Here is a 24,249-nt window from a genome sequence, read left to right on the forward strand (position 1 = left end):
TACACCTAAAATATGTGCAAGTAAAGCATGCTTTACTTTCACCAGATTCTAACAGTATTATTTATGAGGGAGCAATGTTCCTCAAATTATGTCATACTTTATGAATTAATTTTATACTGTACTGTATAAAGTAGAATATAACATGTCTAAAAATTTCATCTGATCTTTTACAGGTATCTCTACAGAGAGAGTTTTTAAAAACCACAAAAAACATTTCTATCTGTATGCAGCTTTTGGTGTAAAAGGATGAAAATATATATGCAATATAATGTTACATTTATAGGGGAAATGTGTCTTAAAATACCAACTAACTTTCAGTCGTTCTAAAGAGATGACATGTCTATCTGGTATCTTAATTTATTCTCTGTTAATGTCACTTGTTACATGCTTTGAAAGAAAAAAAAACATATCAGGGAAGTTTCTATTTTTACAATGATTCTATATTCACAATATTTTAAAAAACCATCTAGGACAGTGGTTCTCAATCCTTGGAGATGGTGGTGATTTTGCCTCCCAAGAAACATTTGGGAATAAATTGAGACATTTTTGGTTGTTATGACTTGGAGTACTGTTGGCATCTTAGTGAACAGAGGTGAAGGATCTAATAAACATTGTACAATTCACAGGAAGTGTAGCTGAGAACTATCTAGCCCACAACTAGCAAAGAATTATCTGGCCCAAAATATGTAATGTGCAGACACTGAGAAGCCCTGATTTTGGAGTAGAACTAGGGATTCTGCATTTTAAAATAGGATACATGTTAGATCACATAAATCTCATACCGATAGTATATAAATATATGAAATAAAGAGATGCTAGATACGAGTTAACAGTGAGGAGAACAATACAATGTATTATGTATGTATGTATGTATGTACGTGTATAACCTCTATCCTACATTATCAACTCTGCTAAAAAAATTATTTTATATATAATATATATTTTATATATATGGAGAGAGAGAGAGAGAGAGAGAGAGAGAAAGGAAAGAGAAAGAGAAATTTAATTTATATGACAAGTAGTTAGATCTTTCTTTTTCTTTTTAAGTTCCAGGGTACATGTGTAGGATGTGCAGGTTTGTTACATAGGTAAACATGTGCCATGGTGGTTTGCTGCACAGATCAACCCATCACCTAGGTTTTAAACCTAGTATCCATTAGCGATTTTTCCTGATGCTCTCTCTCCCCTATCCCCACCCCTCGACAGGCCCCAGTGTGTGTTGTTCCCCACCATGTGTCCATGTGTTCTCAATGTTCAGCTCCCACTTATAAGTGCGAATATGTGGTGTTTAGTTTTCTGTTCCTGCTTTAGTTTGCTGAGAATAATGGCTTCCAGCTCCATCCATGTCCCTGCAGAGAGCATAATCTCATTCCTTTTTATGGCTGCATAGTATTCCATGGTGTATATGTACCACATTATCTTTATCCAGCCTAGTTAGATTTTCTTTTTTTCTGAAAATACAGGGTTTCACCATGTTGCCCAGGCTGCTCTTGAACTTGTGAGCTCAAGTGATTTGCCTGCTTCGGCCTCCCAAAGTGCTGGGTTTACCAGTGTCAGCCATCGGGACTGGCCTAGATCTTAATATAGTAAATTGTGGAAGCAAATAATTTAAGCAACCTGCAAGTATTTGAGATTCACCTCCACCATGCTGCAACATGTTTTTGAGGGTATTTCTTTTTGACAAAAAAGAAAAAAAAAACCTTTTATTAATCATGTGAAAAGTATTCCCCATAATTCTAATTGAAAATATTAATAGTCCTATATGAAATCCCTCATCCTTCAGGTTTTGTAAGTGATACTTTGTCCTCTAAGGAGTGAATTAGTGAGGGAGTATCAATAATATTCTTAAAATATAACATTTTTTATTGTGAAATAAGCTTATCCTGTTTTCTTATAGATGTTGTCAAGAAAAGTTTAATTTTCTATAGACATATTTTTCTGATGCAATTGGAGGCACTTAAATCATTTCGATGTTAAACTACTTTTTGAGAAACAGCTTGCAATTTTCCTATAATGGACAGTGGGATTTTAAAAAAAATGATTTTAAAAGTTAAAGAAATAATTTATTTTATTATATTATGCTAGAAAATGTGCCAAGTGTTTTATAAGCATTATTTTATTTATTCCTCTTAATGGTAACCTTTGTTTATGAAAATAAATTGCCTGGCCGTGTGCGGTGGCTCCCGACTGTAATCCTAGCACTTTGGGAGGCCGAGGTGGGCGGATCATGAGGTCAGGAGATCGAGACCATCCTGGCTAACACGGTGAAACCCCATCTCTACTAAAAATACAAAAAAATTAGCCGAGTGTGGCGGCGGACACCTGTAGTCCCAGCTACTCGGGAGGCTGAGGCAGGAGAATGGTGTGAACCCGGGAGGCGGAGCTTGCAGTGAGCGGAGATCGCACCCCTGCACTCCAGCCTGGGTGAAAGAGCGAGACTCCATCTCAAAAAATAAATAATAAATAAAAATTAAAAAAAAATTGCCTTCATTTTGCAAAGGCTAAACTTAACTTTGAGAAGGTAAAAAAGACTCAGTCAAGATCACACAAGTATTAAAAGGAGAACAGAAAGATTCAGGTTCCAGAGTCCAGGTTTTAACTACTACAGTACACAACCTCTCTATGTGAAGCAATTCATTCTGATTTATTCACTCGTTCATTCATGGGCCAATTGATGGATGTCTTATAAAACAGGGATGTGAAATGGAGACTGAGTTAGAGTATAACTGGTATGATTACATTTGATCTAATTATTGTTGTAACTGTGGAGAAACCTCTCAATGTCTTACTCATTCTCTCTTTTTCTGGGTTTTGATTCTTTTTTAAAAGGAAGTCATATTATTATCTAAAACAGTTTGTATATTTACTAGTTGCTATGTTTTCAAAATAAAATTTAAAAGGAGCAGTTGAGTCAGTAGCCTGACTTTGAAAGTAAACTAAAATGTTCCTGCAAAAATAGTACTATTTTTATCAACAAACATTTAAGACCCCTTTAAACCAAGTTCTGTTTACATGAAAAATAAGTTTCTACAAAAAGAGAAAAACATAATTGGTGAAAATCTAACAGATAAAGGGTTTGCAGCACTCTGTAATTAAAATAACAATCACATTCTTGAAAGATTTTTTTTTTTTAATTCCAATTAGAGCAGCTAAGGAAAGAAACACAAAAGAAAACAGAAAAACCCAGGGTGGTAGATTCTTGCTGGGTTTATGAGAAAATTTAACCCTGCACCTGGAGTGGTGATGAAGAAAACACCTTTGGGCTGAGTGAGGACACAGAGAAAAATGACATGGTAGATGGGTGGTAGAGAAGAAGCATACAAAAGAAGAGTTAGATTTCACTTTCTCCATGGTTACAGACAACTCCCTTACAGGGTGGGGGAGGAGAGTTTGGCGGCAATGTGTAAAACGAAGTAAGAGAATTGTGCATCTATCTATCTATCTATCTATCTATCTATCTATCTATCTATCTATCTATCTAATTTATCTAATTTATCTATTTAAGTTATTTAACAAACACTTTTAAAGTGCTTAGTACTTGCCAGGTATCTTCTAACTGCCTAAAAGAGACTAATGTGGCCGGGCGCAGTGGCTCACGCCTGTAATCCCAGAACTTTGGGAAGCCGAGGAGGGCAGATCACCTGAGGTCAGGAGATCAATATCAGCCTAGCCAACATGGGGAAACCTCATCTCTACTAAAATTACAAAAATTAGCTGGACAAGGTGGCACGTGACTGTAATCCAAGCTACTTGGGAGGCAGAGGCTGGAGAATCGCTTGAACCTGGGAGGCGGAGGTTGCAGTGAGCCAAGATCGTGCCACTGCACTCCAGCCTGAGAGACAGAGTGAGATTCCATCTCAAAAAACAAAGAGAAAGACTGATGTATTTAATCTTTATAACAATTCCATTTTACAGATTTACAAACAAGCAAACAAACAAATACTAATGTAGAGAAACAAACTAATACTAATGCACAAGAAGTCAGGATTTGACAAATTTGGAATTTGAACCCAAGCAATCTGGCTCTAGACTAAGCTGATTGCTATGAAGGTATTTTTTTTGGAATTTACTGTTTGACTGAACAATCTAGTTCTATTTAGTAAATTATATTTTGTAGTAAAAAGAGTTGAAAGTTATACTAATAGCTAATGTCAGACCTATTTAGGATCACGAGGACATATGCAAACAAACCCACTGAAATTGCTCTCACTAAAATTATCACTGACCTTTTTCCAGGTTGCCAAATCCAATGAATGCATTTATGTCTTTATTTTTATTGGCTTTTCTACAAAAGCAAATACTGTTGGCTAGTGTTAGCTTGAAACTGTTCCTTTTGTGTGTGTGTGTGCGCATGCACACGCTTTCTCTTTTTGTCCTGAAATCTGTTGGTGCCCTTTTTCTGAGCATTCTTCTTTGCCTTCCTTTTTAGTGTTGCAGTTTCCAAGGCTCTATCATTGCCCTTTTTCATTTTCTGTAATACTCTTAAGAAATCTTATCTACATTTTGCCTTCAATCTACAATTGAATAACTATGAAAGTTCTAGTTTTAGACCAAAGCTTCCTTCCTTTTTAGCCTTAAATATTCAACTGTATCCCAGAAGTATCTCAAATTCAGCACATTTCAAAGTTTAATTTTTCAGATAATCCTTTAAGTGAAGTGTCTGCAAATGATGGCCTAAAGGCTAATACTGGCCGGTGAGCAACTTGTTTGTACGGTTGGAAAAAAAAACCAAATGAAGAATACTATTTCATGGCACATAAAACTTGTATGAAATTCAAATTTCAGTGTCCAGAAATTAAGTTTTATTGGCACACAGCCACACTTATTCATTTCCCATATGACTGCTTTCACATTACAACTGCAGCAGAGTAACTGCAACAGAGAACACATGGCCCACAAGTCCTCAAATATTCATTATTATTATTTGGCCTTTCACAGAATACATTTGCTGACCCTCTCTCTTAAAGCCATCCCATATTCTTCCTCCTTTCCCCAGGTTTCCCACTCAAATCTCTATCACCACTTTTTAATGATTTCAACTCTAAGTATATCTCATCAGAGACCATTTCACCTACAAGCATCTCCCAGATTTTGGCATCAGCCACCTCCTGATCTACTGAAGTAGCTTCCTGTAATGGTTATCTTTATATGTAAATTTGACTAGTCTAGAGAATGTCTAGATAGCTGGTAAAATGTTATTTCTGGGTGTGTTTCTGGAAGAGATGAGTATATGAATTAGTATACTGGGTTAGAAGTTTCCTGCCCTTGCCATTACAGGGAAGCATCATCCAATCTGTTGAAGGCCGAAATAGAATAAAAAGGTAGAGGAAAGGCAAGTTTGTTTCCTGTTTGAGCTACGACATATATCTTATCCTACACTCCATAATTGGCACTCCTGGTTCCTGGGCCTGTGAACTCCTGGACCTGGACTTATGCCATTATCCACCTACCCTTCCTGGTTTTTAGGCCTTCAGATTTGGATTGAGTTACACCACTGGTTTTCCTGGTTCTCCTGTTTGCCTACAGTAGGTTGTGGAACTTCTTGGCCTCCATAAGCATATGAGTTACTTTCTAAAATCAATCTCTCTATCTCTGTGTGTCTGTGTGTGTGTATATATATATATGTGTTACACACACACACATATATATTCTATACATACATACACACACATATACACTTCAATCCTGTCTCTCCAATCAATCCTTTACAAATTTCTATCATGCAAATCTGTTCTTTTTACTCCTTTGACCATTTTTTAAAAAATTGTTTCTCTCCTTTTCTTAGAGGAATGGTTCTGAAGGCAGCATCATATCCCCTGGGAATTTGTTAAAGATGCAAAATGTCAAACCCCACCTAAGACCTACTGAATCAGAATCTCTGGGTAACGCCCCCCAATATGTGTTTTAATAAGCCCTCCATTAATTTTAATGCACACTTATGTTTAACATCATTGGAACCATTTATCCCAGAGGAAAAAACTGTGTATTTCTTTGTGGGGATATTATTTGAGTGTGAGCATGATCTGACCCCTGCCCAATCTTGTCTCTGATTTATTCTTTCCTCACTTGCTGCTTCGATCTGCAAATGTGAAAATGCAACCCCTCCAAGTTAGTAATTTGCCTCAGGTAACATGGCTAGTGACTGACATGAGGGAAGAATTAAACTTAGCTAATCCCAAGGTTTGTTTCGTTTTTAGTACCACACCCTGCTACTTTTAAATTTCATTTACTATACTCTTACATTCAAAATCCATCTATCATAACAATGATTGTATCTATCCTAATTGTTAATTTAGTCTGTTCCTCCTCTTAGACTATAAACTCCAGGAAGGTAAGGAAGTTTGTCCAAGGAGAATGTCAAGAAAACATGACTCTCTACTGCCATCTGGTGATATGATGCAACAATTCCAAGAGGAATATATGTGCATTTAATGTCTTCTGCTTGCAGAATGCAGTGAGTAAAACAAAAGCTTGGCTTCAGACTTCTGTTCAGATAACAGAACGATTATCCCCTGGCTGTTAGACCTTGAGCAATTTACTTAGTATTTCTCTGTCTTAGGTTCCTCATCTGTGAAACTGGATGGCTAACAATTTTTCTCACGGAAATGCAATGATAATCAAGTTAGCTGCTATTATAATTATCGATATTGTTATCAAGGACTTAGCTAGACTCTATAGTTGACACAAAGAAATAAATGAAACACTGTTCCTTAAATATTTTATAATCTAGGCGAGTAGGTAAGACAGAGTTAGGAAATGATTAATGAATAAATAAATAAATAACCATACAAGCTTTAAATGCTGAGTCCTTATGGTGTTAACTATGAATGTAGAGGAGGTAAAATTTGAGCTAGTATAAGAATTTATAATTGGTATGTGTGAGAAGGAGTCTTAGATGGAGAATTGTTCCTGCAAGTCTTTGCACACATTGAGACTAACAACTGTAAAGTACTAATAAAAATGATATAAGTGCACATTTATATTACAAAGTCATAATCACAAAACCATTTTTATTTAATGCTTCATTATATAATCCCAGATCTCATTATCCAAAGAAAAACTAACACATGACCCAAAAAGTGTTTATTGTAAATGAGTGTTATTGTTGCTATTATTTTTTAATATACCTGAAACTTAATTAATAGTTGTATTTTACTGATAAAAATATAGTTAGATTAGATGGCTTCGTGAATTATATATTTTTAACTTAAAGAAAAACCTACATTGTGTTAAATGGTGATTAAACTCAACGTTTACAAGATCCTATGATTTAGATACATTATCTCCAGTTTGAAAAAGCAGATACAGAGAAGTTAAATAACTTGCCAATAATGTCCAATAACACATTAATAGCTGAGACTCATGAATCTGAAATAAAACTATGCTAATGATGAAGGGTACATCACGCAATTAATAAATCATATGTTTAGGATTTGAACCCAGGCCATGCCATTAATTCTAAGCTTGGCTCCCTCATGCTGTAAATTTTTCTAATTAATATTTAAAATACCCACTACTGCTCCTTCATATTGCATATGTTTAAGCTGTGGTTTGTTTCTTCCTAATCCCATATAACAACAACATTAAAAACCAAAGAGATCTAAAATATATTTCTAAAATATTCTGCTTAAATATCCAATAACCAATTTGGAACTTTGTGTGCATAATGAATGCTTACTTGTAAGAAAACTGGTGCTGAAACTTTTATTAATTTCCTACTTGGAGGATTAGATAATGGCAAATAGTATTTGTAACCTTTATTTCTTTAATTTGTGAAAGATATATTTCAATTTTATAGTACTGAATGTCATGTATTTTTTAAATTTATTATTTGTTTCATGAACATCATGTTATTATTCACCAGAATACGGGCTATTATTATTGTATTTGTGTTAATGCTGAGCCTTTGTCACCATTTTCATTTTAATTCTATCCTCGGTAATAAAATAGTCGATATGTTCCTGCATCTTTTTTCCCTAGCAGTGGAAGTGTTACTTCACTGAAGCAGATAAACAGGACAGATAATGATTATTATATGCTCAGTGATCCTTATAATGGGGAAAGGTAGAATGTTCTCTGATCACTCTCAAAATTGCAAACTGACTGAATTTCATTTAGGAAATAGCAAGTTCTTTTCATAGGTGATATTCTCTAAATGTATTTAAAGACTAGAATATTTGCCCTGAATCCTGGGAAAATATGTTAAATTACATCCACATAGTAAAATCTTGCTTATTTTATGTAAAGAGGAAAAATCATATATAAATCATATTTTGAGTTAAGGAAAGATGTCAAGGATGCCTCCCCCCACCAAAAAATGACAATGAATGTCTCGTTTCTTTCCTATATATGCATAAATATCAGGAAAGCTTGAGAGTATCGTGGTTCTTCCTGTTCTATGAATTTACTAAGGGTCATGCCAATGCAGGCGAATTAGACAGTGCAGTTAGTAAATGAAGGAGAAGGACATTGATCCTATTTTGGGTGAGGAGGAATGATGCAATACATAGATGATGCAATACATAGATGAAGGCCATTTTTCATGGTCCAGTTCATTTAGATTGCACTGAACATACAAATTATTATTACTACAAAATGCCAAACAATCTGAGGGACAAAAATACAGTTGTGTAAATAATTTTGCACTTGAAATAATCAAAACCATTCATATCTTATAAGTGCTTGTCATCTACAGTGTTTGCTTACAGCTAAGCATTCCTCTGTTGAAGGAAATTCTAGAGAAGCGTATTTTTTCATTATACTAGTGGCACATTGCTGGTCAGAATAATAACTTCTTGCCTTATTTAAATTTAATCAAATTCAATATATCTACTAAATCATTATTAAATGCAAAAATGACTAATCTATATACTTTTTTCTATAATGTCCTCATGCTTTTTAGCTTATAAGGTGAAAGAAGTCAAGAGTAGAAGAAAAAAATTAAAGTTATTGCTCACCTATGTAAGCAGTAGATATAGAAACCATATGTATAGAAACTCCCATGTAGCAAAGAAGGATCAATTATGTAAGAAAATAGAAACTGAGAAATTGAGAGTATCTGGGAAAATAACTAGATTCAATCAGATTGTCAGAGAAAGGACACAGAAAATTTTGCAGATGAGATTTTGGTAGAATAAATAGTATCAAGGGAGAATGAACGCAACACACTGAAGAAAGACAAAGGAGAGCCATGTGATATTGTCAACCAGAGAGGTAATTGGTTTTAGTCAAGTCTAAAAGATACTATAATACAAATTTTAAAAATAAGGCTCGATGTGTGGAACAAATGCCCTACATGCCAATGAGTTAGAAGGTCTGCTTATTCCACACTGAAAAAGAAAGAGAAGGAGAAGATGCAAGAGAGAGCTTGTCATCTAAGAATCATGAATCTAAAATGAAAACATGCTAATAAAGGGGTCATTGTTTGCATTCAAATGAGATTTCCAAGGGTTATATCACATATAATGAGGAAAAAGTATAAAAGGATGAGCTGACGTTACACCAAATGGGATACCTCATGGTATCCCAGTGGGGCAAAAAGTGAGAATTAGGATAGGAACACTTGGCAAACATTGAGTGGAGGAAACACAATCACAAAACCAAGATGGGGTTCACTGTTGAACCAAAAGGTGAAATACGGAATACATGGGGAGAGGTAGCACATATGGGCCTGTGAACTCACTTCTCCTAAAATAGAGGAACTCAGGCAAATGGTTCACCCTTTCTCATGTACCACCCCCTCTCTTCCCAATATGCTACATGGTAATAATCTAAAAATTAGGGGATTTAGTTTAAAATAAATATACAGGGGCATCTTAGGAATTAAGATGCCCCTAAATATTTATATGTAAATAAAATAAAAAGGGAAAGAGAAAAAAATTCTAAACCAGTTAAAATAAAGGTTGAAACCACTTCCCTCATAGAGTATGCGTAAAATGTCAATAACTTTTAACTTATAGAAGTTATTTTATACTTCAAATATTATATGATTAAGATGATAATACTTTCTGGGTGGTTAATCCATAAGTGAACAAGCACTTACCCTGTGGCTGGCGACTGGGATGGTATATCTGAAGGTCAAATGGCTGTGCACTGGTTTTCTGAATCACACTGACATTCTGCCCTGTCCACTTATTGGCTTTGGACAATGTGTTGGTCCTCCAGTCTGTCCAGTAGACTTCACTCCCATATAGAGACACAGCAAAGGGATGGGAAAGGTATTCATGACCTCGGATGATTTCTATCATGTTTGTTCCATCATAGAGGGCTGAATAAATAGCATCTGACCTACAGAAAGATAAATACATGAGTAGTTTGTCAAAACTCATTCAACTAGTCCAGAGACATAATCATGTAACTCAGCTAAATGACAAAAAAGGTATTTTATAAATATTTTTATGGGTCTGTATCTGATTTGGGGCAAGCAAAAAAAAAATACACCTCCAATTTTAATATATGTATACATGATACTGACATGTTAGGACACTTTCCAATGTTGTAAATATTATCTAAGTAAAAAAAAAAATACAGAAAAGAGATGATTTTTTAAACCTGGCGTCTGTCCACACTATCCTTTTCTCAAAGTGGTCCACAGTTAGTCCATTAGGCCAAGCCCCAGTTTTCATGTCTTTATAGATGGTTTTTCTCCCAGCACCACTCATAGAGGCAGATTCAATGCGAGGAAAATTTGCATCCCAGTCTGTCCAGAAAAGAATTCTAAAAAAAAAAAAAAAAAAAGAAATAATACTATTGTTTCAGTCATTCATTTCACAGATATTTATTGAGTGCCTACCATATGCTAGGCACTGGATAGGTGATAAGTCACAAGAGAAACAGATGTATTATCTATCCTCGTGGGGCTTATGGTCCAGTGGAGGAGCCAGACTAAATAAGTGCATAAATATATAATTATGACTCATAAAATATTTTGAAAAAAATTGCTATGAGAGAGAATAGCAGGTGACTGACCTACTTAGAGAAGGTGATCAGAAAAAAGCACTTTGAGGAGTGATATTTATACTAAAACTGAAGAATGAGGAGAGCAGTATAAAGAGCATGGCAAGTAGAATAAACAACATATGCTAAGGCCCTAACAGGGAAAAGAATGTGGGCTATTTGAGGAACAGAAATAAGGCCAATGTATTAGAAGCATAGTGAGTGAGGAAGAGAGGGGAGGAATAGGATGACAAATAGGTGATCTTATGGGTCTTGTAGGGTAAGAGAATTATTCTGGATTTTATATTAAGGGAATAAGAAGTGCATAGGCCTTTGGTGGCTTTTAAGTAGAGGAGAAATGTTATTCTCTATGTATAGTAAATATATACAGACATAGTGACAGCGACAGGAGACAGACAAATTCCCAAGCAGCCAGAAATGGGTCCCCGGTAAAACTGAACCTTCAAGCCAGGGCAGTCTAAAGCCTGAAAACCAGGCTACCAGTTCTGGGTCGAATCCATGAACCAGAGTAAGAACTTCCATCCATGTCTTACCCACTCTCTCTTAATTGGTTATTTCTGAATGATGCCTTTAACCTATTGAATGATTCCTTTTCCAAGCCCACCCATAAACCAATCAGCAAGAATTCCCCCATTTGAAGCCCATAAAAACCCCAGACTCAGCCTCAGAGAAGGCTACCCACTTTCAAATCCCCTCTTGCTGTTGAGAGCTTTTCATTCATTCAATAAATTTTACTCCGCCTTACTCCCTCTCTAGTATGCATGTACTTTATTCCTTTTGGTCATGGGACAAGAGCCTGGAGTTCGCTGAACTGCAGGAGTGAAAGAGCTGTAATGCTCCTGCTTGCCAAGCTACATGCGGCAGGAGGAAAAGAGCTGTAACACTCCTGCCTGCCAAATTAGGGGAATAAAAAACCCACAACAATAGTGATGAGACAGTATATCTGTCTAATCAGTATATACACAGGATATACTGTACCAGATAAAACAGATATACTGTCTAATCACTGTGGCTATTATACAGAGAATAGATAATAGTGAGGCAAGAGTACAAGCATGTTAAGTGGTTATATAAAAGACCAGAAAAGATGATAGTGGTCTAGAGTATGGTGGTGGCAATAAAGGAGAGAAGTGAATTGATTCAAAATATAATTTGAAGGTAGAATTGTCAGGACTAGCTGATGGACTGGGTGTAAAAAATGAGATAAAAAACAGAATCTCAGGAGACCATCAGTTTCTTGTTTCAGCAATCTCAGATTGAGGGAAGGATATTGTGTATAGGGGTTCCACTAAGTGAAAGGGAAAAATGGAAAAGGAACAAATTTCAGGAGCTTAAAATTTAACGTTGATGGGTGTAGACAATGTTGGGGCTCAGAGAATAATATGCCAAAGTATGGTACTTTGGCATGCTAAGCACTTTTTTGAATTAAAGGAAATTGCAAGTTCATGGAAGCTGCCTTTCAAGAACATTCTAACCTTCTCTTGTTTCTCTCTTCTTTGCCCCAAACACAAGGGAGGGACTCTCTTTCTGGAAGTACCCTTATTTGACTGAAGAAAACTTCTTTCAAAAGAAATGCAACTGTCTGAAAACCCCTCCCTTGGAATCTCAATAAATATCCAGGAATGATTAAACAACAAAGACAAAAAAAGACTCATCACCACACCCAGACAGACTTTTCATCTATTGTTCTGAAGGAAGCTCTGAGAGATTTTCTGAGAGGCTTTATTTGCATAAGGCAATGTTTGTTGACTGTGAGGTTCTGCCCTTCACCTTTCTGGAAATTATAGCCACCCCACTCAGAGGTCAGAGGAACATTGGCCCAGGACGTTGTCTATTGTTTGAGCTCATTCAATTCCCCTGAAAATTATATACCACTCCTCAAAATGCCTTACATTCCCCATTTCCCTCTCCCATATGAAGAGGGTATATAAGCCTCAACCATCTGGTCCTCTGATTCTTTATTTTATATGGCTCCCATGTACACTTGCATGTTAGTAATCCTGTATGCCTTTTCTTCTGCTAATTTGCTGCCAGTTTATTTCAGGACACTTGAACCTTCAGAGAGGGAGTGAAAAATTCCCTTTGCTCTTACAGTAGTAATCAAAAAGAGAAAGTAATGTTGCAGTACATTTTTCTATCAGGTCTGACAATATTTTGTTGATAAATGGTAAAATTATGAAATGGTAAAAAAATAAATTTTCTCTTCATTTAATTATATATAGTTTTATTATTTTTGACTTCTATTATTCTGTATAATCCTTGAAAATAGCAATTTGCTAAATTACCTTGTAAAATGAAACAATCCTTTACAAAATTTAAAATTCAATTAATCCACTTCCTTTTAAAAAAAATTTATGTCTATTTAAGAAAATGTGAAATGATATATTCACCATGACTTCTATTTTTGAAAAGAATATAGTCTGTTACAGAAAACAGAAATTACAAATATGAAATGATTAGAGGACAGTTCAAAACATTATGTTTATAAACATAGTAATTACATATGCTAAAAGAGTATGGCAAAAAGGGAAGAAAGATGAGAGTGGAACTTCCTATATAAATTAAAACACTGACATTTGGTAAGTGTTATTAGATAACTGTGTCAATATTAAATAGTGGTAGTGTGTGCTTTTGTGTAAAACAAACTTGGATCAAAGTTGGAATTTCTCAATTACTTCTGCATACTTAATCTCAAACCCCATTTTCTCATCTGAAAATAAAAACTATTATAGTACACATTTGTTGGGAACATTAGGTGAGAAAATGGATGTAAACAATTTAGCACACAGAATGATTAGCACAGAGAAAAGATTTGTGTTTGTACATGCATGCTCACACACATATTGATAGAGAATAAATATTTTTTAAAGGAAAATTTTCACAGTCTTGCTAACTGTTAAGGAAACAGAGAAAGGGAGAGAAAAAGGGATAGAGAAAATACTAATATCTATGTTTAAATGCTACAACAGTGTCTATGTGAAAGTAGATTAATTTTATGAAGCAAACGTGAATCAAAGCCATGAAAATATGATTCAGGGCAAGAGATCATAGGAGTAGATTCATCTCATAGAATTTCTTTCAAACAATTGGTTTCTATTAGTTATTTTTTAAAATAATTTCAGTTTCATGGAGATGTGAAAGGAAAATACATTTTGGAGATTTTTTATTTTGACTACTATAGGGGCTTTATTTACATAACAAGGCCAACATTTTGCCAGCCAGGCCAAACTGAAAGAGCAATGGCTGTCACCCCATGCTGCAGTTTGATAGCTAAGGGTCTGCCTTCTTTTTTTTCCACCATGACAGCCTGGGTTTTGTTCCTATATCAAGCCTTTTCTTGTTTGATACTTGGTACTTCTGAAATAGCAGCAATTTATCCTAGCTGAAATATGGTAATGACATTTTAAAAGATTTTTTAAGGAGCTCAATGGTTAGAAGCCAGCTGAATTAAAAGCTAACATCCAAGAGGTGTGTGTGTTTGTATGTGTATGTGTCTATGTGTGTCTATTTGTGTGTGTGTGTGTGTTTGTATTTAAAAGTCCTTCATGTTTTTTTTTTTTTCTCTCCTAGGACCTTGTATTTTTTTTTTTTTTTTGAGCAAAAGTTTTTTTATTCTCAGTTTACTGAATTCTGTTTTCTTTATTTACTTCTGCTGTCTTTCCCTTCTCTTTCACCCCCTGCTGCATGAGGGACCTAAAATAGTTTATAATAGTCTGGAGTTCCTCAAAGAAAACAGAGAAGGCACCAGGCTCCCTTTCGGGGAAAACCGTCTGTTTTTCCTTACAGAATCTCAAGAGTGTGAACAGACAAGTTCATCTCAGCTCTTAAGCTGCTTGCTTTTGTATTGTGTCACCTGATTTTTTTTTTTTTTTTTTTTTTTTTTTTACTAAAGTAGCTATTGCAACAGAGGCTACTCTTGGTTTTGTAAGGAAGAGTGTAGTTTAGACACTTAGAAATGTCTTTATTTATTTATTTTTGTAATGAACTGTAAGCACATCACATGGTTTAACCTTTTAATAATTTTCCCCTTTTGGAGACCCAGGATTCAGTGTGGTCTCTACCCAGAGTTCAAAGGTCCAGTTAAAGATAGATAGTCTCTATCTAAATAAATGTGGTCTCCTTATATAACCCTATGATAGATTTGTTTAATTTTATGTTTGATTTGGCATCCATCTCTAATCTTCCTCTAGCACCACCAGACTTTTTCTCTCTGTACCTTATGATGTAAATTTTGCTATTTGATTTTCACCTTAGTTGTTTCCTTTAATATGAAAAATTAAGGCTATTTAGCTGACAACTGCCTAGGGTTGTGAAACAAGTTATCATGAATCTGAAAGTCTAAGACAAGAAAAAAAAAAGGTCTTTATGAATCTATAAGATATATTTCTATCAGCAAGCATAATATGTTTATGTATTTATGTGCATGTACACAATGTTTCACCACTAAAAATATATACAAGAGCTCTAATTAATTGGTTTAAGAAAATAAAAGTACTTAAATCAAATACTTTATCAGGAAAAAAAGACTAGTCAAATATTTTTTCCAGTTTACATAACAAGTAAAATCTTTAATAAATAAGCTAGCTTTAAAATTTTTGGTAAAGTAGTTAAGACTTTAGAAATGTGTTAAGAATTGCCAGAATACATTTTTGTTTGCATTTATTAATCAAGCAATTTCTTACTTATCCCTGCCGAATATTATAAGGTGTCAAAATTTGCCATAGGGGTTACAAAAGTATAAACCCAGCCCAAGACGGAATGATCTTTGCTTGCATGATCTTTAATAAATAAGACATTAATATTATTTTAATAAAAACAGCTGCATCTTAAATTTAGTAAGATTACCATAACTTCTAATCTTGCGGCTTTAGGCAGTCTAGTCCACAGGCAGTAAGGTTTGTTTTGGGAAGGGAATGTAATTGTCTTTGTTTCAAAGCTAAATTATAAACTATAAACTATAAACTAAGTAATACAAATACAAAGTTAGTTTGGTCTACACCCAGAAATGAACAAGGACAGCTTGGAGGTTAGAAACAGGATGGAGCCAGTTAGTTCAGATATTTTTCACTGTCTCAGTTATAATTTTGCAATGGTAGTTCCATAATTTTAAATGATGACTAGCACAGTTTTTATAAATAATGCAGGTAAATGATTAAAATAAAATAATTAGGTAAATGTAATGGGATAAATACTTGTAAACAAACTCATCATAATTTAGATCCTAAAGTTATATTAAATAATATATATTTCATTATTTAGGTATTTTTCAATAAAAGTATATTGGTAGGAAAACATTCTTTCAAAAAAAGTATGTCCTTTTTAAACAGGTGAAAAATTTTTCTCTAATTCAAAGCTTATTTAAAGGTTATGTATAAAAAAGATAAAAGGAATGGGGAAATAAGAGAAATGTAAAGAAAGTTATAAAAATAAAGAGGTTTTTTTTTGGTAAGAAAGCTTAAAGAGAAATAATTTTTATATGAGAAAGAGTCTTGTATAGTAGATTTAGTCCTAGAACAAAATGACTGGTTGTTTAAGAAACACAGATGTTCAGAACAAACCAGAAAGTCCAAGCATGACATGAATGATCTGTGTAAGTCAAAATAAGAATTTATTTTTAAAAAAACAACTTTTATATGATCAAGCTGTCTATAATTAAAGAGAAACTATAATGGTCTTTCTATAGATTGGGGCTTGATATTAAAAAACACACAATAAATAATTGGTTAGAACAGTGACATTTACTTAAGGGATTGATTTATTCTTAGTAAATTGTAACAGATTTTTTTTTAACACAAAGTTCAAATGTATTGCATCTCACTGTTTTTGATTTTCTCTCCCCTTTTAAAGGGAGCAAGATAGTAATGCTCTCCTTCAACTCATTTTCAGCTCATATAAGTTTTTTTCATTAACTTTTGTTTGTTGTGGCCTGATGGTAACAATGTTTTCTTAAAGGTCTAAAGGAAATGTTTTCTTCCAAAATAATATTCTGTGCAGTGCAGAAGGTCTTTTCTTTTGCCTTTGGTAACCAGTCTAACAGATTTTTATGGTTTATCAAAACAACTCCTATGTCATTATTATTAAGTTTTGGTTTGCTTAGGAAAAAAACTAAGATTAATTTTTCTTTTTTTTTTAAATTAAGGTTACTACATCCGTTTATCTTTCTGTACGTGCTTTTAAAGTACTTGTGATATTAAATTACAGGGCTTGGACTCCTGGGTCTAAAAAGGACACCAGGCTGGGCGTGGTGGCTCATGCCTGTAATCCCAGCACTTTGGGAGGCTGAGGTGGATGGATCAACTGAGGTCAGGAGTTCAAGGCCAGCCTGACCAACATGGTGAAATCTCATCTCTACTAAAAATAAAAAAAATAGCGGGGCGTGGTGGCAGGCACCTGTAATCCCAGCTACTCAGGAGGCTGAGGCGGGAGAATTGCTTGAACCCAGGAGCAGAGGTTGCAGTGAGCTGAGATCGTGCCATTGCCCTATACCCTGTGCAACAAAAGCAAAACTCTGTCTCAATAAAAAAAAAAAAAAGGACACCAAGTCCTGCTAAATCTTAAATGGTGACAGCAATTAAAGCCTCATATTTTGTCCTGGGAGAAGATGACAATAAAAATAAATTGCATTCCTGAAACCCAGGGACAGAAATTAAAACTATTCAACTCCTCAAAGCCCAGGAACTATCACAGAAGAGGTGGGCCTGTGATATTGTAAAGGCAGATTTTGAGAGATAAAGTAAGTCCAGTTTCTCTATAAATTAATCACTAAAGTCAAAGGCATACTAATGCAAGACCAGTATATGGGCCCTTGTGTCAGATTAACAGGGTTTTCTTGAAGCATTAGTTAACTACTTAATAAAGGTTATAAAAGGCTTATGGAAGTTATATCTTATGGTCAAGATTAAAATTTTATAGATTGCTTATAAGATTTTGAAAAACAAATTTAATTAGCTTCCTGCTTTTATTTGGGCTTATTGTTTTTAAAATTAAGTCTCCTCTCTCAAATAATGAAGGCCTTCACCTCTTTTTTGAAATCCTTGAGTTATCACTTTGGTCAAATGAATGACTAATTTTCAAAGACCTGCAATTATCAAGTGTTTTAATATGTGTTTTGGTATTTGACACTTTTAAAAATCAAATTAGAAAGTATGTCTTTTCTGACCTAATTAATCCTTTAAGGTGTTAGTTTCCCTAAAGTCCAAAAATGACATAATTTGGCTTATTTGTTATAAAAATTATACAGGAAGCATTGTCAATTGTGAAATGGTGTTCAGTTTTCTTTGGGCTGTATTTGTATATGTTATTGGTATGTGTTCAAAAATTATGGGAAACTCCTATAATTCTAATATGACTTTGTGTACATTATCAGTAATAATTATAATTGTTATATTAAATTATTGTGTGCCACAGAGGTAACAAATTTCCTTGTCAATGGTGTCTTTGACTATGACTGCCCTAAAATTTTTGTCTTCCACGGACAGTTATTTTGTTTTGGTTCTCTTTAGAAGGTGGTTTTATAATCAGCTATAAAACTCTAACAGATGCTCTTGAATCCAGTTTTCTGATAACTTTGGAGGTTGCGATATCAGAATAGAGGAAAAGCTTTCAGAACTCATGGAGAGCTGAAATGTTTATGAGTATCAAGCAGAACAGAAATTAACTGCATGGACTGAATTAATAGAAGATTGAAGTAATCCTTTTGACTTTTTGCTTGAAACATTGCTAATCCTTTTTTTCTTTTCAGAGTCAGAGAAACTTTGCTTTGAGCTATTGACAGCTTTTAACAACTTGGTATATACTCCTATGAACACAATTTGGAGCATGTTTGTTTCTCTCTACCTGATTTCTACAGAATTTTGAAACTATTTGTGAGTATTGTTAGCTTATGGCAATACAGTTATTTGCATAAGTGCAATAAAAATTTGTTTTCATTTGTAATAGGACACAATTGGAGAAACTGGTTATTTTATCAAGGCTTTGACTGCAGTGGTGTGCTTTCCTCTAAGGAATCAGACTTGACTTATGAAGTCAATAAAAGCCCCTTGCAAAAACTGACCTCATACCTTGTCTATACCATCCCTGTACAGGGTTCCTGACCTGGGGTGAGTAAAGAACATCATTTTTATAACAGGCCCAGGAGCTCCAAGTTTATCTTGGAACCTCAAGAGAAAAGGAATCCACCCAACTCATAGGTATTTGATAGTACAAATCCATGGCTGGGCTCAACTTTAAAATAGTCTTATCTGAGATTCCTTCTATGGAACAAAATTCCATCAAAGCCAATTTAAAAGCCTATGTGAAAAATATTTTTTTTTCTTGCTGCACTGTATACAAATAATCAGGCCAAGTATAATAAAGCAAATCAGTCCTACGAGGATTTGTCTTTAGTGAAAATGGGAAACTGGAGAAAGAATAATAATGTTTCAAAAACTATAGTACACCTGTTGTTAGATTCTAATCTTGCCTAATGTTTTTCTTTTTTTATTGTTTTCTACCATTTGGACCAAATTCTATTTTTTCTTGGTTACAAGTGGGCAAAATAATGCTTTCATTTTTTTTCCTTTTTCCTTTTTTCTCCATTTTTTTCTAATTTGGAGTCATCAAAAACTAAGCTGTGCTTTTGTAAAGCCCTCTGAACTGAAGATAGACAACTTAAACTTCAGAAGAATATAACAGCAACCTATTTAAAGCCACATATATAAACGACTTTCGAAGCTGCCTACTGATGCATGGACTTCAGAGTAATGTGGCCTATACTGATTTTCCAGGATTATTCTTTTGTTTGTTGTTGTTTCTCTCCCTTCTTCCCCTTATTTTCTTGTCACAGGACATGAGACTTCACAACCTGCTAAAAATGAGCTTTCCTAATAAATCAAGACTTAGCCACCTAGGAATAAAACATCATAGCCATAAGAGATCAGATAAAACCTGAAACCAGAGACTCATGTTCTTCTAAAATGCTTTCTCTGAAAGATTTTAAAAAGAAAAGGCGGGAAATGTGAAAGAAAAATAAATATTGAGGCCCCCAAATCACTAAGCTAAAGGGAAAATTCAAGCTGGGACCTGCTTAGGGCCAACCTGCCTCCCATCAGTTCAAAGTCACCCCTCTGCTCACTGAGATCAATGCATTTGCCTTCTTTACAGAGGCTAATCAGAAACTCAGAAGCAGGCAACCATTTGTGTCTTATCTACCTTGACCTGGAGGCCCCCTCACTCCATTTCAAATCTTCCCACCTTTGCTTCGAGTTGTCCCACCAATGTTCATCTTACATATGTGGATTGATGTCTCATGTCTCACTAAAATGTACAAAATCAAACTGTCCTCCGACCACCTTTGGCACATGTCATCAGGACCTCCTGAAGCTGTGTCATGGGCACATATCCTCAACCTTGGCCAAATAAACTTTCTAGATTAACTGAGACCTGTCTCAGGTTTATGGGGTTCACAGACAGCTTTAGTTCTATGTATATGGCTTTAATTTTAGTTTCAAGGCTTTCACAGCTATGGTTGTGGAAGCATATTCAGAAAAACAATATCCAAATTGTTTATTGTTCGATAATGAAATATGTGAATAAGACCATTGGGAAAGGATAAAAATGAACATTCATATACCAGAGGACAATGTACTGATAATTGTTTAAGCTAGATAATGGGTACAAGAGAGTTTATTACACAATCCCTACTAGTTTGTGTACTTTAATATTTCTGTAATAAAAGTTCAAAAGTGTAAACAACTCAAATAAATAGGTACAAATTTTTAAAAATGTACCAGAGGACATTTATAAAATTTCAATATTGGGGCCTATTTTCCCAAAAAATTTATGTTTAAAGATAAGATTGTTTTGTATAAAAATATTAATTATCTGAAAATATTAGCACGAAATTATTTATAAACAAAATTAATCACAAAATAATACAATATGTTGCCAGTTAAATAGAAAATGGAACAAAGGTTAATATAAAGCTGATAGGCTATTTAAATAGTAAAATGCCTTTCTTAAAAATAATGAATATGAAATAAATTAAATCTCACTTCAATTTAATTTTGAGTGCACAGATCTTTCATAGACAACAGGTTGTTATTTGTCAGTTGCTTTTAAACTTAGCATTAAAAACAAAAATATTTAAATAGAAAGAACACGAAGATAGCATCAATCTAATTTGTAGTGTTATCTCCACAAACAAGGGCCAGTAGAGAGATTTGCAAGCTTAAAAAAATAAGAGGCCAGGTGTGGTGGCTCATGCTTGTAATCCTAGCATTTTGGGAGGTTGAGGCAGATGGATCATGCGAGGTCAGGAGTTTGAGACCAGCCTGGCCAACATGGTGAAACCCTGTCTCTACTAAAAATAGAAACATTGGCTGGGCGTGGTGGCACGCATCTGTAATCCCAACTACAGAATTGCTTGAACCCGGGAGGCAGAGTTTGCAGTGAGCTGAGATCATGCCACTGTACTGCAGCCTGGGTGACAGAGCAAAACTCTGTTTCCAAAAAAAAAAAAAAAAGAAAAAGAAAAGAAAAAATAATCCCTGAAAACAAACTATGAATTTGGAAGTTATAGGCAGTCTCTGAGTATTTGTGGATAAGCCACCAATAGATGTAGATAAGGCTGTACTTCCCACTCTGCAATGATAACACAAAGACTTCTGATGCATCATCTTTTGCCTGTATAACAATTGGGAAATTGGTGTCTACCTTGTAACTTTCTATCCAGTTATACTTTGAATAGTTGTGGAGAGTCCAACTATCCATCAGTGACACTGTAATTCTGTATTCTCTATATTTATATTTACCAGAAATAGGCACTGTGAACTCTGAAACGTTTTTCTAGTGGGGGAAAAATATGGCTTGGGACACTTTGATTCACTAAAATAAGTGATCCCTTCATTTCTTCATTAAACCTAGCAGTGTTAGTATACTTCTATGGTGATCACTATGAGACTAAAATTTTGTCGATTTAAGTGAGAAATTCCAACACTTTTTATAAATAACATGTTATAGAATTAGTCACCCTAGAAGTGTTCTTAACCTTGCCATAACATAGTTCAAAACAATCTTAAGAGCTGATTTCAATGATCATCGTTTCATAACATTCTAGGTACTCCTTCATATACTTGATAATGTGCTATTTTAACAGAATCATTTTTTTCCTATTACTTTCTCTTTAGATGGTTAAAATGCATTAGCATTTCAATAATTGCATTATATCCTCAAGTATACAAAGACTTAATATGTCTCCTTATAGGATGTATGGAAATGTTCAGTCACAATAACTTTTAAAAAAAGAAACTACAGTCTACAGATGCTGCAGTTCCTCCATTCATGGATTAGTAAGTGTCTGGATTAAACTGGGTCAAAAGACATGAACAACTTGTAGCATTATAGGCATAAAAAGGCTGTTATCACCTATCAGATCAAGCAGCAGAAGGTAAAAATAAATGATCCTGGTTAAAAAAAAAAAAAAGAGGTTACTTATCTGTAATATTCAGTTCTAAAACCAACAAAACCTTTATTAGTTCCATTTAAGAATATTCCTAGATAGGATTAAAATATTATTTAGATGTCTCACTAATCTTCACAATTACTACTTCTACTTTCACCAACGAAATTTTTATGGCAGTTAAAAATTTAGTTTAACTAAATTCAGTTTTAGTTAAAAGCTGAATTTTTAGTTCAGTTATTATGACAAAGGAAAACTAAATACTAGCTTTAGCAATAGATCAGGAAGATGCCATGCAGTAGCGTAAAAATAAAGGCAATGAAAGTTCAAGAACTGAAGTGAGTACCTTGTAGATTCTGCACACCCTGGTGCTTGTTACTCTCTAATAATAAGCTTAATGTTTAAAACGGGATTCATGGTCTCTTTCAGGTCACCTTAGCAATAAGTGTATTACCTTAAAATGGAATGAAAGAAAAATAGCTCCTCCCTAAGACTCTCAATTTACCATCTTGGAATAGTTTGTCACCTGGGAGATCAGGTCAAAATCCAGAAGACTGAAGGAATATGGCATGATGACAGATATGTTTTATAACCCAAAGTGAATGTTGGTGGATTTTATGCTGGGGAAGCAAAGTCGTCAATTAAAAACACTTCACATTGGCATCTGTAAAAAAAAAGGTCACAAAGACCTTGATTGCTGTAGAAACCTCACATGAAGTAAATGTGTTTTGTGAGGCTAGTGTTAGGGCCTGTTTGTTTTCTCAGCTGTGTTAAGGGAGAAAAGTGGCTAGTTGCAAACCTTTCTTTTCATTTGTTATTGTAAACAAAGTTCATAGTTTTCCCATTAGCTGTCTGTCCTTTACTGTATACTTCCCATTTTAAATATATCCTTGAGTTCCTGTAAGTTACATATAAACAAATTCCATTTCTATGCATGCATTCATTTGTTTAACATTTACTTAGCACAAGTATATATTCAAAGAGGCTTAGAAGGATTTTACAGACTGAAAACAACTTCCCTTGCCACCAAAAAGCTTAAGATTTAGTAGAAAATATAACAGTATTTATATAAATCATATTTCTCAATAATTAGTGAATTTTATCTAAAATTAAAAATTTCAAAAGAAGTTTAAATTACTTTGAAGCTCATATCAATGCTGATTCTCAGCTTCCTTATATATTTTATTAATAGTTTGAGAAATTGGGGAAAATCTTATGTTTATATTGTACATAGCACTAAGATAGTAAGCTGAGTTTAAATAAAATTATATTTCAATGTTGCTTTTCTTGTGCTTGGCTTGGCTTTGCTGTAAGTGTGTGTGTGTGTGTGTGTGTGCGTGTGTGTCTGCTTATTGTTGCTATGTTTTAAGCCTACCTTGTGAAAGGTCCAATATATTAAACTAACCTCAGAACTGTTTATCAAAATAGCCAATAAACTTGAAAATATTTTAATATTCACATTACATTATTAAATCTAAAAATGTATATTTTAAAATGTGCTTTATGATGTTTATATAAACTTTATATCTTAATCATATTAACCTCTATAAAATAACTTTTAACAATAAAAGCCTATCAAATCATGACACAAAAATCTGTCAACCTTCCAGTTAACACTTAGAGTTTAATGAATTAGTAGTTATCCAAACTCTAGTCATTTATTCTAGAAATGATTGTATAAGCATTATTTTGTTACCCTATTTTAAAAAAAAGTATTATTTTATTATCAATGTAATTATCTTAATTAGCCTCACTGTTTCATAGCAGCAATTAGTGATGGAAGGTATCAACTCCCCCAGAAGCATTTTTGACTTTCCCCTACTTTCAGGCTAGCTTTCTGTATTAACTTTCAACTC

At 34.2% G+C, this 24,249-nt stretch overlaps 1 protein-coding gene across 3 annotated transcripts in view; it reads right to left on the bottom strand.

Annotated features, from left to right (window-relative positions):
- LRP1B (LDL receptor related protein 1B) overlaps positions 1-24,249 on the bottom strand; it is a 1,899,594-nt gene that overhangs the window by 626,125 nt on the left and 1,249,220 nt on the right. For all 3 annotated transcript variants that reach the window (NM_018557.3, XM_017004341.2, XM_047444771.1), the window contains exons 26-27: positions 10,552-10,716; positions 10,043-10,287 (exon numbers count right to left, since the gene is read on the bottom strand). In NM_018557.3, coding sequence (NP_061027.2) covers positions 10,043-10,287; positions 10,552-10,716 — 410 coding nt within the window. The remainder of the gene's footprint in view (positions 1-10,042; positions 10,288-10,551; positions 10,717-24,249) is intronic.

Source organism: Homo sapiens, chromosome 2, assembly GCF_000001405.40.
Source record: "Homo sapiens chromosome 2, GRCh38.p14 Primary Assembly".
NCBI lineage: Eukaryota > Metazoa > Chordata > Mammalia > Primates > Hominidae > Homo > Homo sapiens.